General features: G+C 37.8%; 1 protein-coding gene across 6 annotated transcripts in view; it reads right to left on the bottom strand.

Moving 5' to 3' along the window:
* Positions 1–15,105, bottom strand: part of CPS1 (carbamoyl-phosphate synthase 1) — a 201,423-nt gene that overhangs the window by 18,382 nt on the left and 167,936 nt on the right. For all 6 annotated transcript variants that reach the window (NR_161225.1, NR_163592.1, NM_001369257.1 and 3 more), the window contains 7 exons: positions 12,669–12,863; positions 12,186–12,253; positions 10,288–10,363; positions 6,624–6,701; positions 4,094–4,201; positions 2,038–2,127; positions 71–241 (listed from right to left, as the gene is read on the bottom strand). Coding sequence is in view for 4 of the 6 variants with exons in the window: in NM_001369257.1 (NP_001356186.1) it covers positions 71–241; positions 2,038–2,127; positions 4,094–4,201; positions 6,624–6,701; positions 10,288–10,363; positions 12,186–12,253; positions 12,669–12,863 (786 nt within the window). In the remaining 2 variants the exon portion in view is untranslated. The remainder of the gene's footprint in view (positions 1–70; positions 242–2,037; positions 2,128–4,093; positions 4,202–6,623; positions 6,702–10,287; positions 10,364–12,185; positions 12,254–12,668; positions 12,864–15,105) is intronic.

Raw genomic sequence — 15,105 nt, 5'->3', positions numbered from 1 at the left:
TTGATGACAAATTGTTCTTTTAATTTCACTAGAACTCATAAAATGACTAATAAATTTTTGAAAATGTTACCTTAATTGCAACATAGTCAGCAGGAATTATGGGATGGTCCAATGTTGGAAGATGTTTCTCATCAACATTCTCTCCAATCATCACCTTGGTGGCCACATCAATGAAGTCAACCCCAAGAGTCTTGGAAACAAAGGGGAAGGATCGAGAAGCTCTCAAGTTACACTCAATCACCTGAAGAGATAAAATTCAAAATGAGAAAGAGGACATTGAGAGCCAGTAACAACAATATTAATATTCTCTCTACCACTGGTTTCCAGCTGTTATTAACTGGGGACCAGCTCTTGTTTTGCTAATCTTGTCTCTTTTCTCCTTACTGCTTGGATTTTTCCTGATACTTTCAGTCAGTATCTTTGAACTCTAACTTTCTTTCATGCCTTTTTCCAAATTGCATTCCCATGCACTGCTGACAGGTTTAGTTTAATGCAGAGCTCAAATAATGCCATACCCCTCCTGAAAACCTTCACTGGATGTCCACTGGCTTCAGATTAAAGTCTAGTCCCTGAAGGCCTTCTGTCCTCTTGCTTCATTGGAGACCTCACTGTCTTTATCTTATACTACCCTCCTGGCCTCAATCTTACTTTCCCAGTTCACCCATTTTACTCAGTAAAATCATCTCACTCAACTGAACTATTTACTCTCTCCAAATATGCTCTTTTCTCACCTTTACAGATGATGTTCTATCTATGTGTAATAATCTCTCTACCATCGTTAACTTGTCAAAATTCCAACCGTTTTGCGAGATCCAGTTCACAATACAAAATCTACCTTGAAGTCTTTTATGATCTACCCCTAACCAAGCATAGGATGCTCAAATACATGCTCATGCACACACACTGGCAAATACGTTCTCTCTGCTCTATAATTCCAATACCATTTTATTTGTACATCCCCTCTAGCAACTGTGATACTCTACTTTATAGTTTTCTACAAATTTACCTTCTTCCCAACCTTCACTAAATTACAGTATTTTTTGAGAGCAGAGGCTTGCTTAATACATTTTTGCAGCCACCAAATGACTGCGAGTAGGAGGTAAATCAATGCTGGTTACTACTATGGTCTGGATGTGGTTTGTCCCCATCAAAACTCATGTTGAAATTTGGTCCCCAGTGTGGCCATGATGGAAGCTGGAGACTAGTGGGAGGTGTTTGGGTCCGAGGGGTGGATTTTTCATGAATAAATTAATGCTATCCTGTTGGGGTAGCATCCTTCACCTAAATTAAAAAGGATAATCAGAGTCTGGTAGGAGTAAATTAATTCCCACAACAGTGGGCTGTTAAAAAGTCTGGTTTCTTCAGTTTCTCTCCCCTACTTTCTCTCTCACCATCTGATTCCTCTGCACCTGCCCACTCCCTTGCCACTCTCCACCATGAATGGAAGCAGCCTGAGACCCTTACCAGATTCAGCTTTCCAATCTTAGACTATCTAGCCACCAGAATCATAAGCCAAGTAAACCCCTTTTCTCTACAAGTTACCCAGACTCAAGTATTCTGTTATAGCAACACAAAACAGACTAAGGCAGTTACCGATTAGTTAAACTAAGTAGACTAAATTAATTAGGACTAATCTAGTTCATTTATCATTTTTGCAAATGGTATCGTCTCTGGGTAAGGAGTAAAGCAGAATTTCAGTACACAGAATTTATGACTACTCTACACATTCCATTTATTTATGATAGTCTGTCTCACCGTATCCATCTATACTATACTGTAGGTGGCATACAGTGACCTTCCCAGTGGATCAGTGTGCTTTACAAAGCTGTAACTGACTTATCAGTGCCACCAATAGCCTGGGCCTTCAAATAAGGTAGACATTATATGCTATGCATCATTCCACACTCAGACACAAACAGATCCAGGGGTCTCAGTTGCTCTTTGTCTGGTGTTCACAGAGAAGATTACCAGAGAGATGCAAACCAACATGACGTAACACAGTGGTGGTGTCCTCTCAGGCACCTTGGCATTTCTTACCAAGACATCATTTCCTTTGACAAGAAATTGGACGTTGAATGGACCAGAGATGGCAAAAGCCTTTGCAATCTTCCGGGTAGCATCCTTCACCTGAATTAAAAAGCATAATCGTATAGTGTGCTAAAGAGCATATCTTAGTTTTTGAAAACTTTCTAAAAGGCACAGTACCTTAAATTTGGATGTCTTTAATTTCTCTTCACAGACAGCTATATATCTACATTAATAATTATAATGGAGGGCACTATTAGGTTTCTATTAACAAAATAATATGCAATAAATACACACAAAATAATAGGAAAAGAACAAATAATTGTACACGATTATCTCTCTGCCAAATTCCCCTATCTACCTACAATTATATAACCTGGTTTTACATTGAGGGTTAAATGAAATCCTTTCAGTCTAGTTGCCTTAGCACCAGAAACTGCAGTCCAACCTCTATATCAATGTAATGACCTACCTGCTGGGAGGTACAGGCCCTGAAATTACATGGTACTGCAAAGAAACCAGAGAGATTTCTTTTGTGTTGCTTTTCTGTTGCCCTGGACTCTACAAGGTTAGATATTATGTTCAGAAGGAAACAGTGTTTCCCTGCAGGGAAGCCCTGCATGTCACATACAGGAATCCCTGTATTCAACCAGAGCCAGAATGTCCCTATACCAAGAGGGGGCATTGATTACAAAGAGCAAGAGCTCCTCACTCATTATGCTCACAAGAGTGGTTCAGCAATGTAATTGGGTATAAAACGAAGTAGAGTCTATGACACATTGAGCTCTGAGAGATTTGGAAAATCCTGAGTTCTGAGGATCATTTATCCTGACATGAGAAACTGAAGTACATTTGAGATCCAAGGACTTTTTTCTTTAATGCTTCTGCTATTACAAAGTATCCTGCTACCTCTACCTTCTAGAACAAAGACCTTCAGAATCCAGCCCAATGTACAACCAGAGAGACAGGTCTGCCTGAATTCTGATGGCAGGGTCACTGGAAAAGCTCACTAAAAAGAGCTGAGCCTGAGCCTGATCTAATATACCTAAAGACTAATGGGACCTCCTCAAAGCTTATTTAAGATGATAGGTTCGGCTGGGCGCGGTGGCTCACGCCTGCAATCCCAGCACTTTGGGAGGCCGAGGCGGGCGGATCACGACGTCAGGATCGAGACCATCCTGGCTAACATGGTGAAACCCCGTCTCTACTAAAAATACAAAACATTAGCTGGGCGCAGTGGCGGGTGCCTGTAGTCCCAGCTACTCGGGAGGCTGAGGCAGGAGAATGGCGTGAACCCGGAAGGCGGAGCTTGCAGTCAGCCGAGATCGCGCCACTGCAGTCCCACCCGGGTGAAAGAGCGAGACTCCGTCTCCAAAAAAAAAAAAAAAAAGATGATAGGTTCTAAATGTACACCTAGCAGTGCATATTGAGTACTAAGGCAGAGTCATTATTTTTGTTAAGTTCTTTATACGGCTGGCTCTCGGAGCTCAAAAGAGATATCAAAAAGTGCTGTTTGGAGGTGAAGTCAAGGGTGAGAAGGGAAAGCATAGATTCCAGAAAGTTCTCAAGTGACTGGTCCACACCTGTTTCACCACTCCTAACTGAGAAGCATTGCTTCAGATGCCGCTCACCTGTGTGTGGCCCTGAAACATTAGAATCCCCAGGAGTAGCAGTTCTCTAACTGCCATCCCCAGACTAGCAGCAATAGCATCACCTTAGGACTTGTGAAAAACGCAAATTCTGGAGCCCGATCCAGAAATATGAAATCAGAAACTGGGGGATGGAGTCCAGCAATGTGTTTAACAAGCTCTCCAGGTGTCTGTGATGCACATTCAAGTTTGAGAACCCCTGTACTCGCATACAACCAAAGGGGCTCAAAAGGACAGTGAAGAAAATTGTTATCTTTAGAATACCCAGGTGACTCAGAGCAAGGAAGTTAGCCTCATCATTAAATTTAACCTGCAGCATATCTTACATTGCTACCTAGCTTTAAAAAAAAAAAAAAAACCTTAGGTGTTTTTTTCTGAGTGTTGCCTTTTCCCTTCCACTTTTATTTATAAATGATGACCTTTTCAATGGCCCCTTGGCTGATGGTTTGTGTGGGCAGCATCAGAGTGGCATCTCCCGAGTGGACACCTGCATCTTCAACATGTTCAGAGATGGCATGAGAGATAACCTGGCCAAAAAAAAAAAAAAAGGATTTTAGAAAAAGTTTTCAGGTACTTCCTTCAAGGAAGCTACTCCCTCATCCTCCCCTTTGGTCCTAACAGATGCACTGAGCACTAAGTAGTTCCCTTGCTACATTCCTGATGAGAGCAGTAGAAAATGCTGCCTCTCTGTGCAGTAACAGATTTCCTGTAGAGGCAGCTAAGAGTGGCTGAGAGCCTACCTCCCTCATCCACTGATTAGCATGGGTATAAGTAATAGGAAAAGAGTAAAACTAAACCAATTCATATTGACTTTTAAGAACAGGATAGGAAGCTAAAGCATTTGAAAAGCACTTAAAATATCTTTATCTTTTAGGCACTGGGAAAGAAAAGAAGGTGGGAGAGCTCAATATCTATCTAGGTAAATGGTATAACTTAGGTGGACCAAAAATAAGTCTCAAAGATCTCATCAAGAGATCATTAAATGGAAGTTTGAAAGAGGAAGGAGTCGAAAGGAAAAATATTCTAGTCCTTTTTTAGAAGTAAGGAAATAAAAGTAATGTAATAATAAATAACCCAGGTTCAGGTGACTGGTATGTGACTGAGTTAGGATTTTGAATATTATCTGTCAGATTCCAAAGTCTGTGGTCTCAATCACTATAACCTATATGTTAATAATATGTGTGTCCTTGGGAAATGATGCAGCTGAGAGTAAGGGAGAATAATTGGGTAGGTATAAAAGACTTAAATAAATTACATAAGAGATTTGCTTATCAGATTTAGCAACGTCTTAAAACAGTGACATTTGAGTTTCCATCCTTCTGTTCTGTGACCTGGGCAAAGTGCTTTACTTACTTAGTCTTGGTTTCTGATAAGATAAGAATAACAATGGTACCTGCTCATAGAATGTTTGTAAGGATAAAACAGACCACATATAAGTAAGAGCTCATTTTTTACAAGAGCTTATTTATAAAATAATAAGAGCTCATTTTTTGGTGAAGTGTCTGGAAAAGGGGAGGCATTCACCCCACTGAGCTCAGGCACCCCACCCCACTGAGCTCAGCAACCTGCAGTTCTATGTCCATTTCTTAACATGGCAATTTAAAAACTATGTGAATAACCTGGAACATTTCCAAAAGAGGGAGTACAGGACGATGTGCAATAGTTGATATCTGAGAAAACCTTAGGGAAAGCACATATGCTGGCAAACCTAGAGCCAAATAAAGCCAACAAACCAGCATTATTTTACCAGTACAGTATTTGAAAAAGTACAAATGTCTCTAGGCCAGTCTTACATTCTCCACTTCCATATATAGGTATCACGTTCCTCTTATTTTATATCTCAACCTTCAAATACTTAAGATGTTGAAAAGGAAATAGATTAAGTTTTTGCTCTGAAACTCAGAAAATCAGGGATAAGACTTCCAAGGAAACAGACCTTAGTTCAAGATAAAGAATACCTGAGATGTCAAAAAAAAGTGACCACAATATATAATCTTACAATGTGTTGAGCTTTGTATCACCAAAGTGTTTAAAAGAAAACAGATGACCACCTTCCAGGGATGCTGTAAAGAAAATATCTGACTTGGAGGGTGGAGGGCTGGAATAAATTATCTCTAAAGGTGTTTCAACTCAAGATTATGTGATTCTGTTGTAAGTAGATACCATTACCATTTTTATTAACAAGATCTACTCTGAAATGCTAATCTGGAAGGAAAAAGAGAAAAAGATTTAACATCTTCAGTAGTGTTTTGAAGTATTTGCAAAGCAGAAGATGAATGCTAAGTTTGTATTTTTCCTTAAAGCAAGTAAAATGGCATAGACTCCCTACAACATAACTTACTACATTTTAAGAGAAGTCACAAATGCATTATTAATACAACTATAAAACTAAAGTAAAATATTCTTCACATTTTCATTTCTCCTTGAAGTTGGAGGTATTCATTGTATTAGAAATACAAGATGTGATATGGTAAGCCAATTTAATATTATTATCCTTATCCACTTTACTCTGTTTGACTTTGCCTTTATTAACCCAATAAAAAGGGAGGAGGATGGGAAATGAAGAAAGAAGAAAAACCAGGATTCGATTGGGAACTTCAGAAAGAAAAGTATTAGATGTTTTCATAATAGCCATTGAAACATAAAAGGAAAGACACAGACAAAAGAAAATGAGAGAGAAAATCTATTCAAAAGGAATGATGAGTACAGGATGATAATTACTTTTGAATATCATCAGAGAAATTCTAACAGTATGAAACATAGGAAATATGATACCCATGACACATCAACTGAATTGTCAGAGAATTTGATTTTTTTTACAGCTTCTCCACTATTACTGGAGACCTGTTTTATAGATATTATGAATTCTAACCTGTCAATATTTCAAAATTGTTAAAGAAAAAAATGATGAGAAGGCAGGAATGAAGGAGATGAGAATAAAGCACTTACCCTTCCATCTTTGCCAACAGCGTCCATTTCTACTTCTCGGGCCCCTTCAACAAATTTTGTCAGCACCACTGGGTGCTCCTGTCACGAAGGAAAACAGAGGAGCCGAACATTTAGCTAACGCTATGTATATAGTGTCAATAAGCCATGTACTTTAAGTATTATAAGTATCAGGGCAATACTTGCAAAATACTCAAGGCTGAACATAACTACATAAACTCATTACCTAATCTGTGCTGTAAGAACAAGGTTGTTCTTTGCTTGTAGTGAGGCAGAGGGTCTTTCTCCAACTTTGAGTGCTCAGCAAACTGACCATGAGTTCTGAATCCTCAAGTATAGGCATCCAGGTCAATTAGAGAAAAGAGGGGACTAAGGAGGAAGCAGAATATGGCTTCTTTCTCTGCTGTCAGAATCATGAATATTTCTCTACTTTATAATGACATATTATTATTGGTTCAGAATATTTCTTTCTTTCTACCCTTATCTTTTCTAAGCACTACAACTCCCTAAATCATATTTCTCTTTGAGAATTGTGGGAGAACTCAGAATGAGAGTGACATTTTCTTTTGGTCTTATTGGGCCAAAGATGAAATCCTTTACCTCGAGTTGATTTGTCTTATGCCACTTCTAGAGTATGACATTTGTAACTGTAAAATCAAGTATTTTTATTTATTAATCTTCAAAAGTCCTTCCTTTCTTGGCTGTTTCAGACACTTCTCATCTTGAAGTGCTTCCCACACTCATTTCCTCCATGTCAGGGTCGGGATGCCCTCCACAACATAATCCCCACTTGCTTTTCTCCATACTAAATGAAGAGGTTGAGGGAAGATCTCCAGGGTTTAGATATCTTCTCCTCTGTACCATAGGCTAAAACAACCTGGGCCACTGTCTTTTTACCAGGCCCTGCATTCACTTGCTTCCATGTGTCTCTTCCCCACGTGTATTCTATCTTTTCTCCTCAGCTTCATCTTTCAAATCTCAACTCACCCTTCAAGGCCTAGGTCATATGCTATCTCCTCCCTGAATCCTTCTCTGAATATCCCTTTTGCCTCTGAACACAAACTCCTTCTGACCACTATCATGAAATGCAGCATTATACAAGGCTGGCCTTCTGAAAAACACTTTCTTCCTTTGGTATCTGTAAACTACATTTCTGTGCTTCTTTCTTCAGCTCATTCGTGGTTCTTTCTTCTCCTCTCTGCCTTAAATGCCAGTATTCCTCCAGTGTCTGTCTTAGCTGTTCCTTTTCTTCTATACTCTCTCCCTCAGTGATTGCTTTCATTCTCAAATCTTCCATTAAAGTGATATGCTATTCATTTCAAAATCTATATTTCCTTCTCTATCTCTAGCCATGATCTTGGTCCTCAATTCCAAACCTATTATAATAACCCTTGCCTTTAAATCATATCCACTTGGATTCCTCACAGGCAGTTCACATTCAAAAGGTTAAAAAATAAATATATAATTCCTCCCTCTATACTTTTCTCCTTCCTCAGTGTTCCCTATCTCAATAAATGGCATCACTGTCTACCCAGTTATCCAAGGCAGAAAACTCAGGAGTTATCCTTTATCCTCTTTCACCCTCCACCTCCATTCATTCACTAATTCTTTTCAATGCATGTTCTTACTATTTCTCTCCATCTTTAGTGTCATTACTCTAATCCGAGGCACTGTCATCTCTACCCTGAGCTATAGCAACAACTCACTCACCTCTTTCCATGAATTTGGTCTTGCCCCATAATTCACTCTGTGTACTACAGCACACTCATCTTTTTAAAATAAAAAATATGACTAAAATTCAAACTCATTATAATGACCAATAAAGTCTCCTTTATCTGGTCCCTGACTACTTCTGCACCATCATTAATAATCAGCATCATGTTTGATGTCCTAGCCATATAAGGAATGCTTTATCAGTTTTGAGAAACTCCCTACTCTTTCTCATCTTCAGACCTTCATAAATGCTGTTCCTTTCTTCCTCCTACTCCCACAATGTAAGCCATTTGCCCAGTTAATTCTGAATCAACCATCAGGTATCAATTTAAAAGTCCCTTCCTCAGGGACTGGAGCCCAAGACTTTCACACTCTCCCTCAACATCCTGTATTTTCTCTATTGCGATGTTCATTGCTCATCATATTTAATTGTAATTATTTGAAGTCTGTTGAGCCTAGCAAAAAGAAGTCCTATGTGACAGTAGAGACCATATCTTTCTTTTCACGATTACAATTCCTGATACTGAGAACAATGCCACCATATAACAGGTGCTATAAATAAATGAATACATACATAGATTACTGATTGATTGGGGCTGGTTTTACTCTAGAGTCATTGAATTCAGTATCCCAGATGCTGCTGTAGTTTGATAGGGAACATTGAACTGTAAAGTACTCAATCACAACATCTCTATTATTAAACTTTGGTCCCATATGGATTCTATCCATACGCTAAAGGAAAAATACTTTAAAAATATTGTACTGAGATCCTATAAGGAGTGTTCGAGGCAGACAAGAGGGGACACCTGCCTCATCACTCACATGAGACCAGCTGAGTACAGTAGCCAGCCTCTGAAAAGGGCCGCATGGCAGGACCCCTGGCCAGGAATAAAATAGAGAAGACAGTTGGTGTCTCACTCCATTAGTGAAAACTGGCCCACTGGAAAGATTCCCTTCTAAGCTATCTGATTTGCACACAAACATGAATTCAAAGTCTACCTGGTTTTCTTCTTTTACACTCTTTGCCTCTTCTCACTCTTTATTCTTATCTACTCTTACCACTCAAACATCCTTGGGGAGCAGCTATCATACACAGAAGAGCGATCCAGCGTCATGTGTGCAGAAACAGTCCACGCACTTTATTCCTCTTTGAAATGCTCCTGATTTCACTCTTCCTCCCTCCAAATTCCACTTGCCTAACATCAAACTCTTCTCTATGAATTGTTCCCCCTTAAAAAAAAAAGCCCCAACAAGCTTTTGAAAGCTTTTAAAAGGAAAACATTACTTTTATCCTCTACAATACAAGATCAATAACCCCACTGGGTAAATCTTAAATGGATCATGCTGAGGTAACACTGAAGGAGAAGGTAAAGGCTGGGGGGCAGTGGAGGAAGGTGGCTGAGTTGCCACAAAATAAGAAATGCTTGTATTAACTCACAAACTGAATGTGCCAACAGGAAAAAATAAAAAATAGTTGAGTGAGGGACTTACTATTAAAGTTGCATGTTTGACTAGGCAAAGTTCCCAGATGTGAAAATTAAAAATCAGGAAAGCTTTCACTTGTTAATGGTGAGCATGGTTGAGCAGCCCTTGAGACTGGGAATTCCAGAAATACCCTGACCAGCATCTAATTCATGAGAAAAACAAAAATCATTGTCCTTTTAGACTCCTGGAGTCTAAAATCTGTTTTGATAAAATATGCACAGGTATTCCTCTTTTTCCACCAACCTTAAAAGTCTAGTTATAATTTAATGCCTTCAAGGTTTCTCATTCTTTTAGGAGACTAGAGGGTAGAAGAGGAAAAAAGAAAACTCATTCTAACACATTGTGTGAAAAGAAAACATACAAAGTAAGGTTGCATTAAGAGATAAATGTCACTACATTTTATTAAGAGATAAATGTCACTACATGTTTATTAAGAGATAACAGTCACTACAAAGAAATTGGACACTACCTGAGAAACTCTAGTCGCCTCTTCTAGGAATTTTTTCATCTCATCCTCAGAGAATACCACATTCATAGCAGACCCACTGGAAAAGGAAGGGGAAAAAAAGCAGGTCAGGTTTATGCTAATACTAGACTTGACTGGTTCTCAGAACAGTTCCAGACAACCTATAGTTCCAGTCGGGGCTGAATAAGAAGGTGCCTCTTGCTAAATTGAGACTTTTCTCCATTTAATCACCAGGACAATCAACCAAAGTATAAAACTGACGAAGCTGAGGATGGAAGAAGGTAAAGTGTAGGGGGTCAGTAAACCTGTATTAATTCCCAAAGGGAATCCTGGTAGCTCTAGAAATTATACTTCTCCAAAGTTTGCCCTTTCTGATTTGCTACATTAACACTCTGCTGGTTCCAGGTAATTCTTAAGCCTTAACAGGATTCAGCCCAGAACCTGATTTCCCTAACCTGTTTCTTCAGAGTTCATTATCAACAGCTGATCTTAGCCTACTGCTCTGTTGTCAAAGCAGGTTATGCTACTCCCTCAACCAGATTGCAAATGAATCAATTTTTAAAGTAATATTTGCTAATACAATGTGCAGTATGTGAATAAAACCTTTTCAACTATATCCTTTCTTTTTAAATGCTTGAGAAAAAATGCTATCTGAAATCAATTTACTCTGAATTTTGACATTTGCAAAATGGGTTGGGAGGGTAGGAGAGGAGGAGTAACAGAAAGCAAAAATAAAAATAAGAAAAATATTACTTTGCTTTTAAACAGCAGCATTTACCTCTTTTACACTACTACAAATTTATCTTTTAATGTTAAAATGTATTTTTAATTGGCAAATAGTAATTGCATATATTTATGAGGTATTGTGTGATGTTTTGATCTATGTATACATTATAGAAAGTCAATCAAGTTATTTATATATCCATCACCTCACCAGTTTATCCTATTACAAATTTCTGCCTAAAGGGCTTTCAGTTGCTTCATTTGTTTAAGAGAGGAAGGCTAGAGCAATAATGCTTATCATTCAGAGTATGTGAAACTGGAACAAAGATATAGATTGCAAAAAAGGAAAAAGAAGTGTGATAGTCAAAGCTGTTTTATTTTCCATCCTTCCTTAAATGTGTGCATGTTTAAATTAGTTTACATTAACTCCTCAAACAGGTAGTATTATTAGACTATGGTTTACACAAAATGACATTTAAATAAAAAGATTTCCACCTCGTTTGAAATTTTTCATTTTCATCATTTTAAAGGAACCCATCTCAAATTCCATTTACACTTTCAAATTGTGCAAAGCAAATTGTGTTTCTTTTATTATCCCTTGTTTGGTGAAGTTGTTCCTTACATGTGGTAACATCTGAAGAAAGTAAGTGATAATTCACAACTTCTTCTTTTATGATAAAACTTTGTTTTAAAGTTTAATATAAAAGATCCTCACTGTTCCTGTTCCTCACCCTTATAATTTATCTATTAAACAATCGGATCTCAAAAACTGAAAATTTTAAAACAAAGGCACTATCAGAAGGTGCTGACAATAGTCAAAGATAAGCTGTCATTTCTGGGTATCAGAAAACACGCTGGCGAGAGATACCTCAATTTGTGTGTCTTTTTTAAATTGTCCTGTTCTTTAATATAAAGCTACCCTCTCTGTTTGGTAAGGAGATGCCTTACACTACACTTCTAGATGAAGAACTGTAGTCTTCCTATGGCCACTCCCTGAAGGGAAAGCATTAAACTAGAAGACCACACATTGGTCCTTAAACTGGCTGTGATGGTTTGGAAATTGTTAATGGATTTATAAATTACTACATATAGAACCCTAGTGCTATTAGCATACAGCATGCATTTCTGTATCTCCCAATTTTTGAATCATTGTTTTGGAAAACAATATACAGTGTTACCTCAAAACATAGGAAGGCCTCAACAAGCAGGGGTAGTCCACAGACTTTGCAAATTCCAGTGCTTCATTCTAATTAATAGAAACAACAATAAAAATGTATGAGTAGTTTAAAATATGCAATAAAATTACAGAATGTATCATTAGCTCGAGTGGTAGCCCAGCTTCTTTATTCTCTAAAGGCACCATTAAATGTAAATTGGACACTGAAATACATAAAATTCCTAGCTTCTGATTCTAAATATCAAATCTTGTTCAAAACTGGTTTGAAATTATTTTCATTGTCTGAATCTTAATGAGAATACTGCTATCAACTCATAATCAGCATTAACTGCAATCATGGATATACAACAACTTTAAATTCACTAAGTGTATGCATTCTATCTGCCCTGTAGTTAACATATCCAATAGTCAACATTCAGTCAACATTCAGGTTGCAGCTCTTCAAAATAGAACATTAGAAACAGATACTTGTTTCTCTCCTTACCAAAGTATTAACAGCTTTCCAAGGTGCCTGAGCCACCTTCAGCTCATCCAAGACAGCTGAGAAGATGGAGCGATCCTCAGCCCTGTCGATCTGCAGGGGGCTTGTGCCCATGATCTTGACACCATTCTTGTATAGAGGAACTGCCAGGTTGTTTGGAATCTGGCCTCCAACTGATATGATGCAGCCACCACATGCCTGGAAAATACACTCACAATATCAGCCATTGGAATAACTTCATTATGAATGGACAACTATGCTAATATTGTGTCTATTTCCTTACTGATAATTCTTAACCTGACTGTGATATTTACATCTCTCCTACCAATGAATACTGTTAAATGATGCCACAAAATTTTTACTTTCTGGCACTTAGATGCTAAAATCTGTGCAAGATTTCCATACAAGTACACGTGAATATCATTTGTGACACTCACATGTGTGGCAAATGGAAAGGAAAATCAAGTCAATAAATGTTTGCTATGTACTCTATGCTATAATCAATTAATTCCTGGACTACTGCTGGAAATTCCTAACTGAATACAGATTTCTTCTTTTAACACTCCCTTCTCCTGTACACCTCCATCTCAGCACTTCACATTCAGATTAAGCAAGTCTGCTTCATCAAATTGCTCCTACACTCAGAGTTCTCCAAAGGTTTCCACTGCCTAGAGAATAAAGCATAAACTTTTGACCCCCAGGGCACTTAAGACTTTCCAGTCTTATCTATTATCACCCCTCTCAGCTCAAAAGACTACTCATTAGCTCCAACTAGGTATTTTCCCACTAACAAATTCTCTGCACCACTGAAACTTCCCTGGCTGTTGTTTCCTTTCTCTTCTCTTCCAGCTTATCTAACCTTTAGCTACCCCTTAGTTCCAGCCTAGATCTCAGGTCCCACTTTGATGTCCTTCCACTTTGATGACCTTCCACCTTCCCCTCTCCTTGGCTGCAGCCTTGGTACCTGTCAACAGTACCTAGTAACTGATTTTAGTTCCTACTGCCTCACTACTTGCTTTACAAACAGTGCCAGAATCTTTAGCCTTATTTCAGACATTTGTGTAAGATTTTCTTCCATAAGTCCAAATCTCCTATTAGCAGTCAAAACTTCAAGAAAAAAAAAAATAGTCCACTAAATCTCAAAGTTTCTCAAGACAGGTGTTGTTGTAGCAGTGAGGGTAAACCAGCGTGAGACGGTGAGGAAATAGATTTCCAGTCGAAGTCCCTTCCTAACTTGGTTCCTTCTGTGTACCACCCACCCCTTCTTGTCTAATTTTATAGACAACAAGACTGAACTTTCCCCCAACGTTTAGTCTTCTTGTGTATAAAATTAGGATAATACCTGCCTAAACACTAAACATTAAAGGTCCTATATACCGTAAGTGTATAAATAAATAAGACATGATTATTAATATCAAAAATCATATATCTGATAGGCCATTGAGCTTAGCATAATTTGTGTGTGTCCTAATGACCCACTAATGAATATTAGTAGAACTGCCAAAATGATAGATATGTGCCAAATATATTTTGTCATTATTTAAAATTGTTCTGAAATACTCTTATAAGGGATGAGGCTAATTTCTGTCTGATGAGAGCAATTACGGTACTGTGTAACTAAACAAACACCCTGCAATTGAGTGCTTAAAGGCATTGTAAACAGTACTGAAAATAATAATCCACCATTTTGCATATTTATAAGTGTACTTAAACTATTTTTATTTTAAAATATGTTCAATATAAATTTTTGCAAAAACCTTTAAAATACTCTCTTGGCTATAATCTTTTTATTTCCTTATTATGTTGGGTTTATCAGCAGTGTTGTTAATGTTTTAGAGACTTAAAAACAAATTACTCCATTAAATGGACACAAAAAATCTCTTATATGAAGGATTTTAGAATAATTTTTTTAAACTGAGGGAGAAGTAGCAACTTATAGCAAAAGTTTGAGTCAATTAGACTAAATAGGAGCTTAAAGTGTAATAAAAGGCTTTAATAAACACATCAATATTTTTCAACTTAGCTGTATTAAATTGACTTGTTTTTAAAGAAATTTCTGCTTTTTAAGGAATTAAAAATTCTGTTTTGCAATAAATTCAAAACAATAGTAAGATAATAGCTGCTACTCTTTAATAAAGATTCTACTATGTATCCTGGACTATCTGTTTTGACTTTCACACTATCCTTCTGAGGTGATTATTACTGTCCCCATTTTACAGCTAAAGAAACTGAGGCTCAGTAAAGGTGAAGTGACTCACCCATATCCCTTATCTAGCAAATACATGTATAGAGCTTGTACATGAACGCTGGAGTGCAGTGGCATGATCTCAGCTCACTGCAATCTCCGCCTCCCAGGTTCAAGGAATTCTCGTGCCTCAGCTTCCCTAGTAGCTGGGATTACAGGCATGCACCACCACGCCCAGCTAATTTTTTTTATTTT

Source organism: Homo sapiens, chromosome 2 (assembly GCF_000001405.40).
Source record: "Homo sapiens chromosome 2, GRCh38.p14 Primary Assembly".
Taxonomy (NCBI): domain Eukaryota; kingdom Metazoa; phylum Chordata; class Mammalia; order Primates; family Hominidae; genus Homo; species Homo sapiens.
The sequence above is the reverse complement of the archived record's forward strand: the minus strand, read 5'-3'. Positions and strand labels throughout refer to the sequence as shown.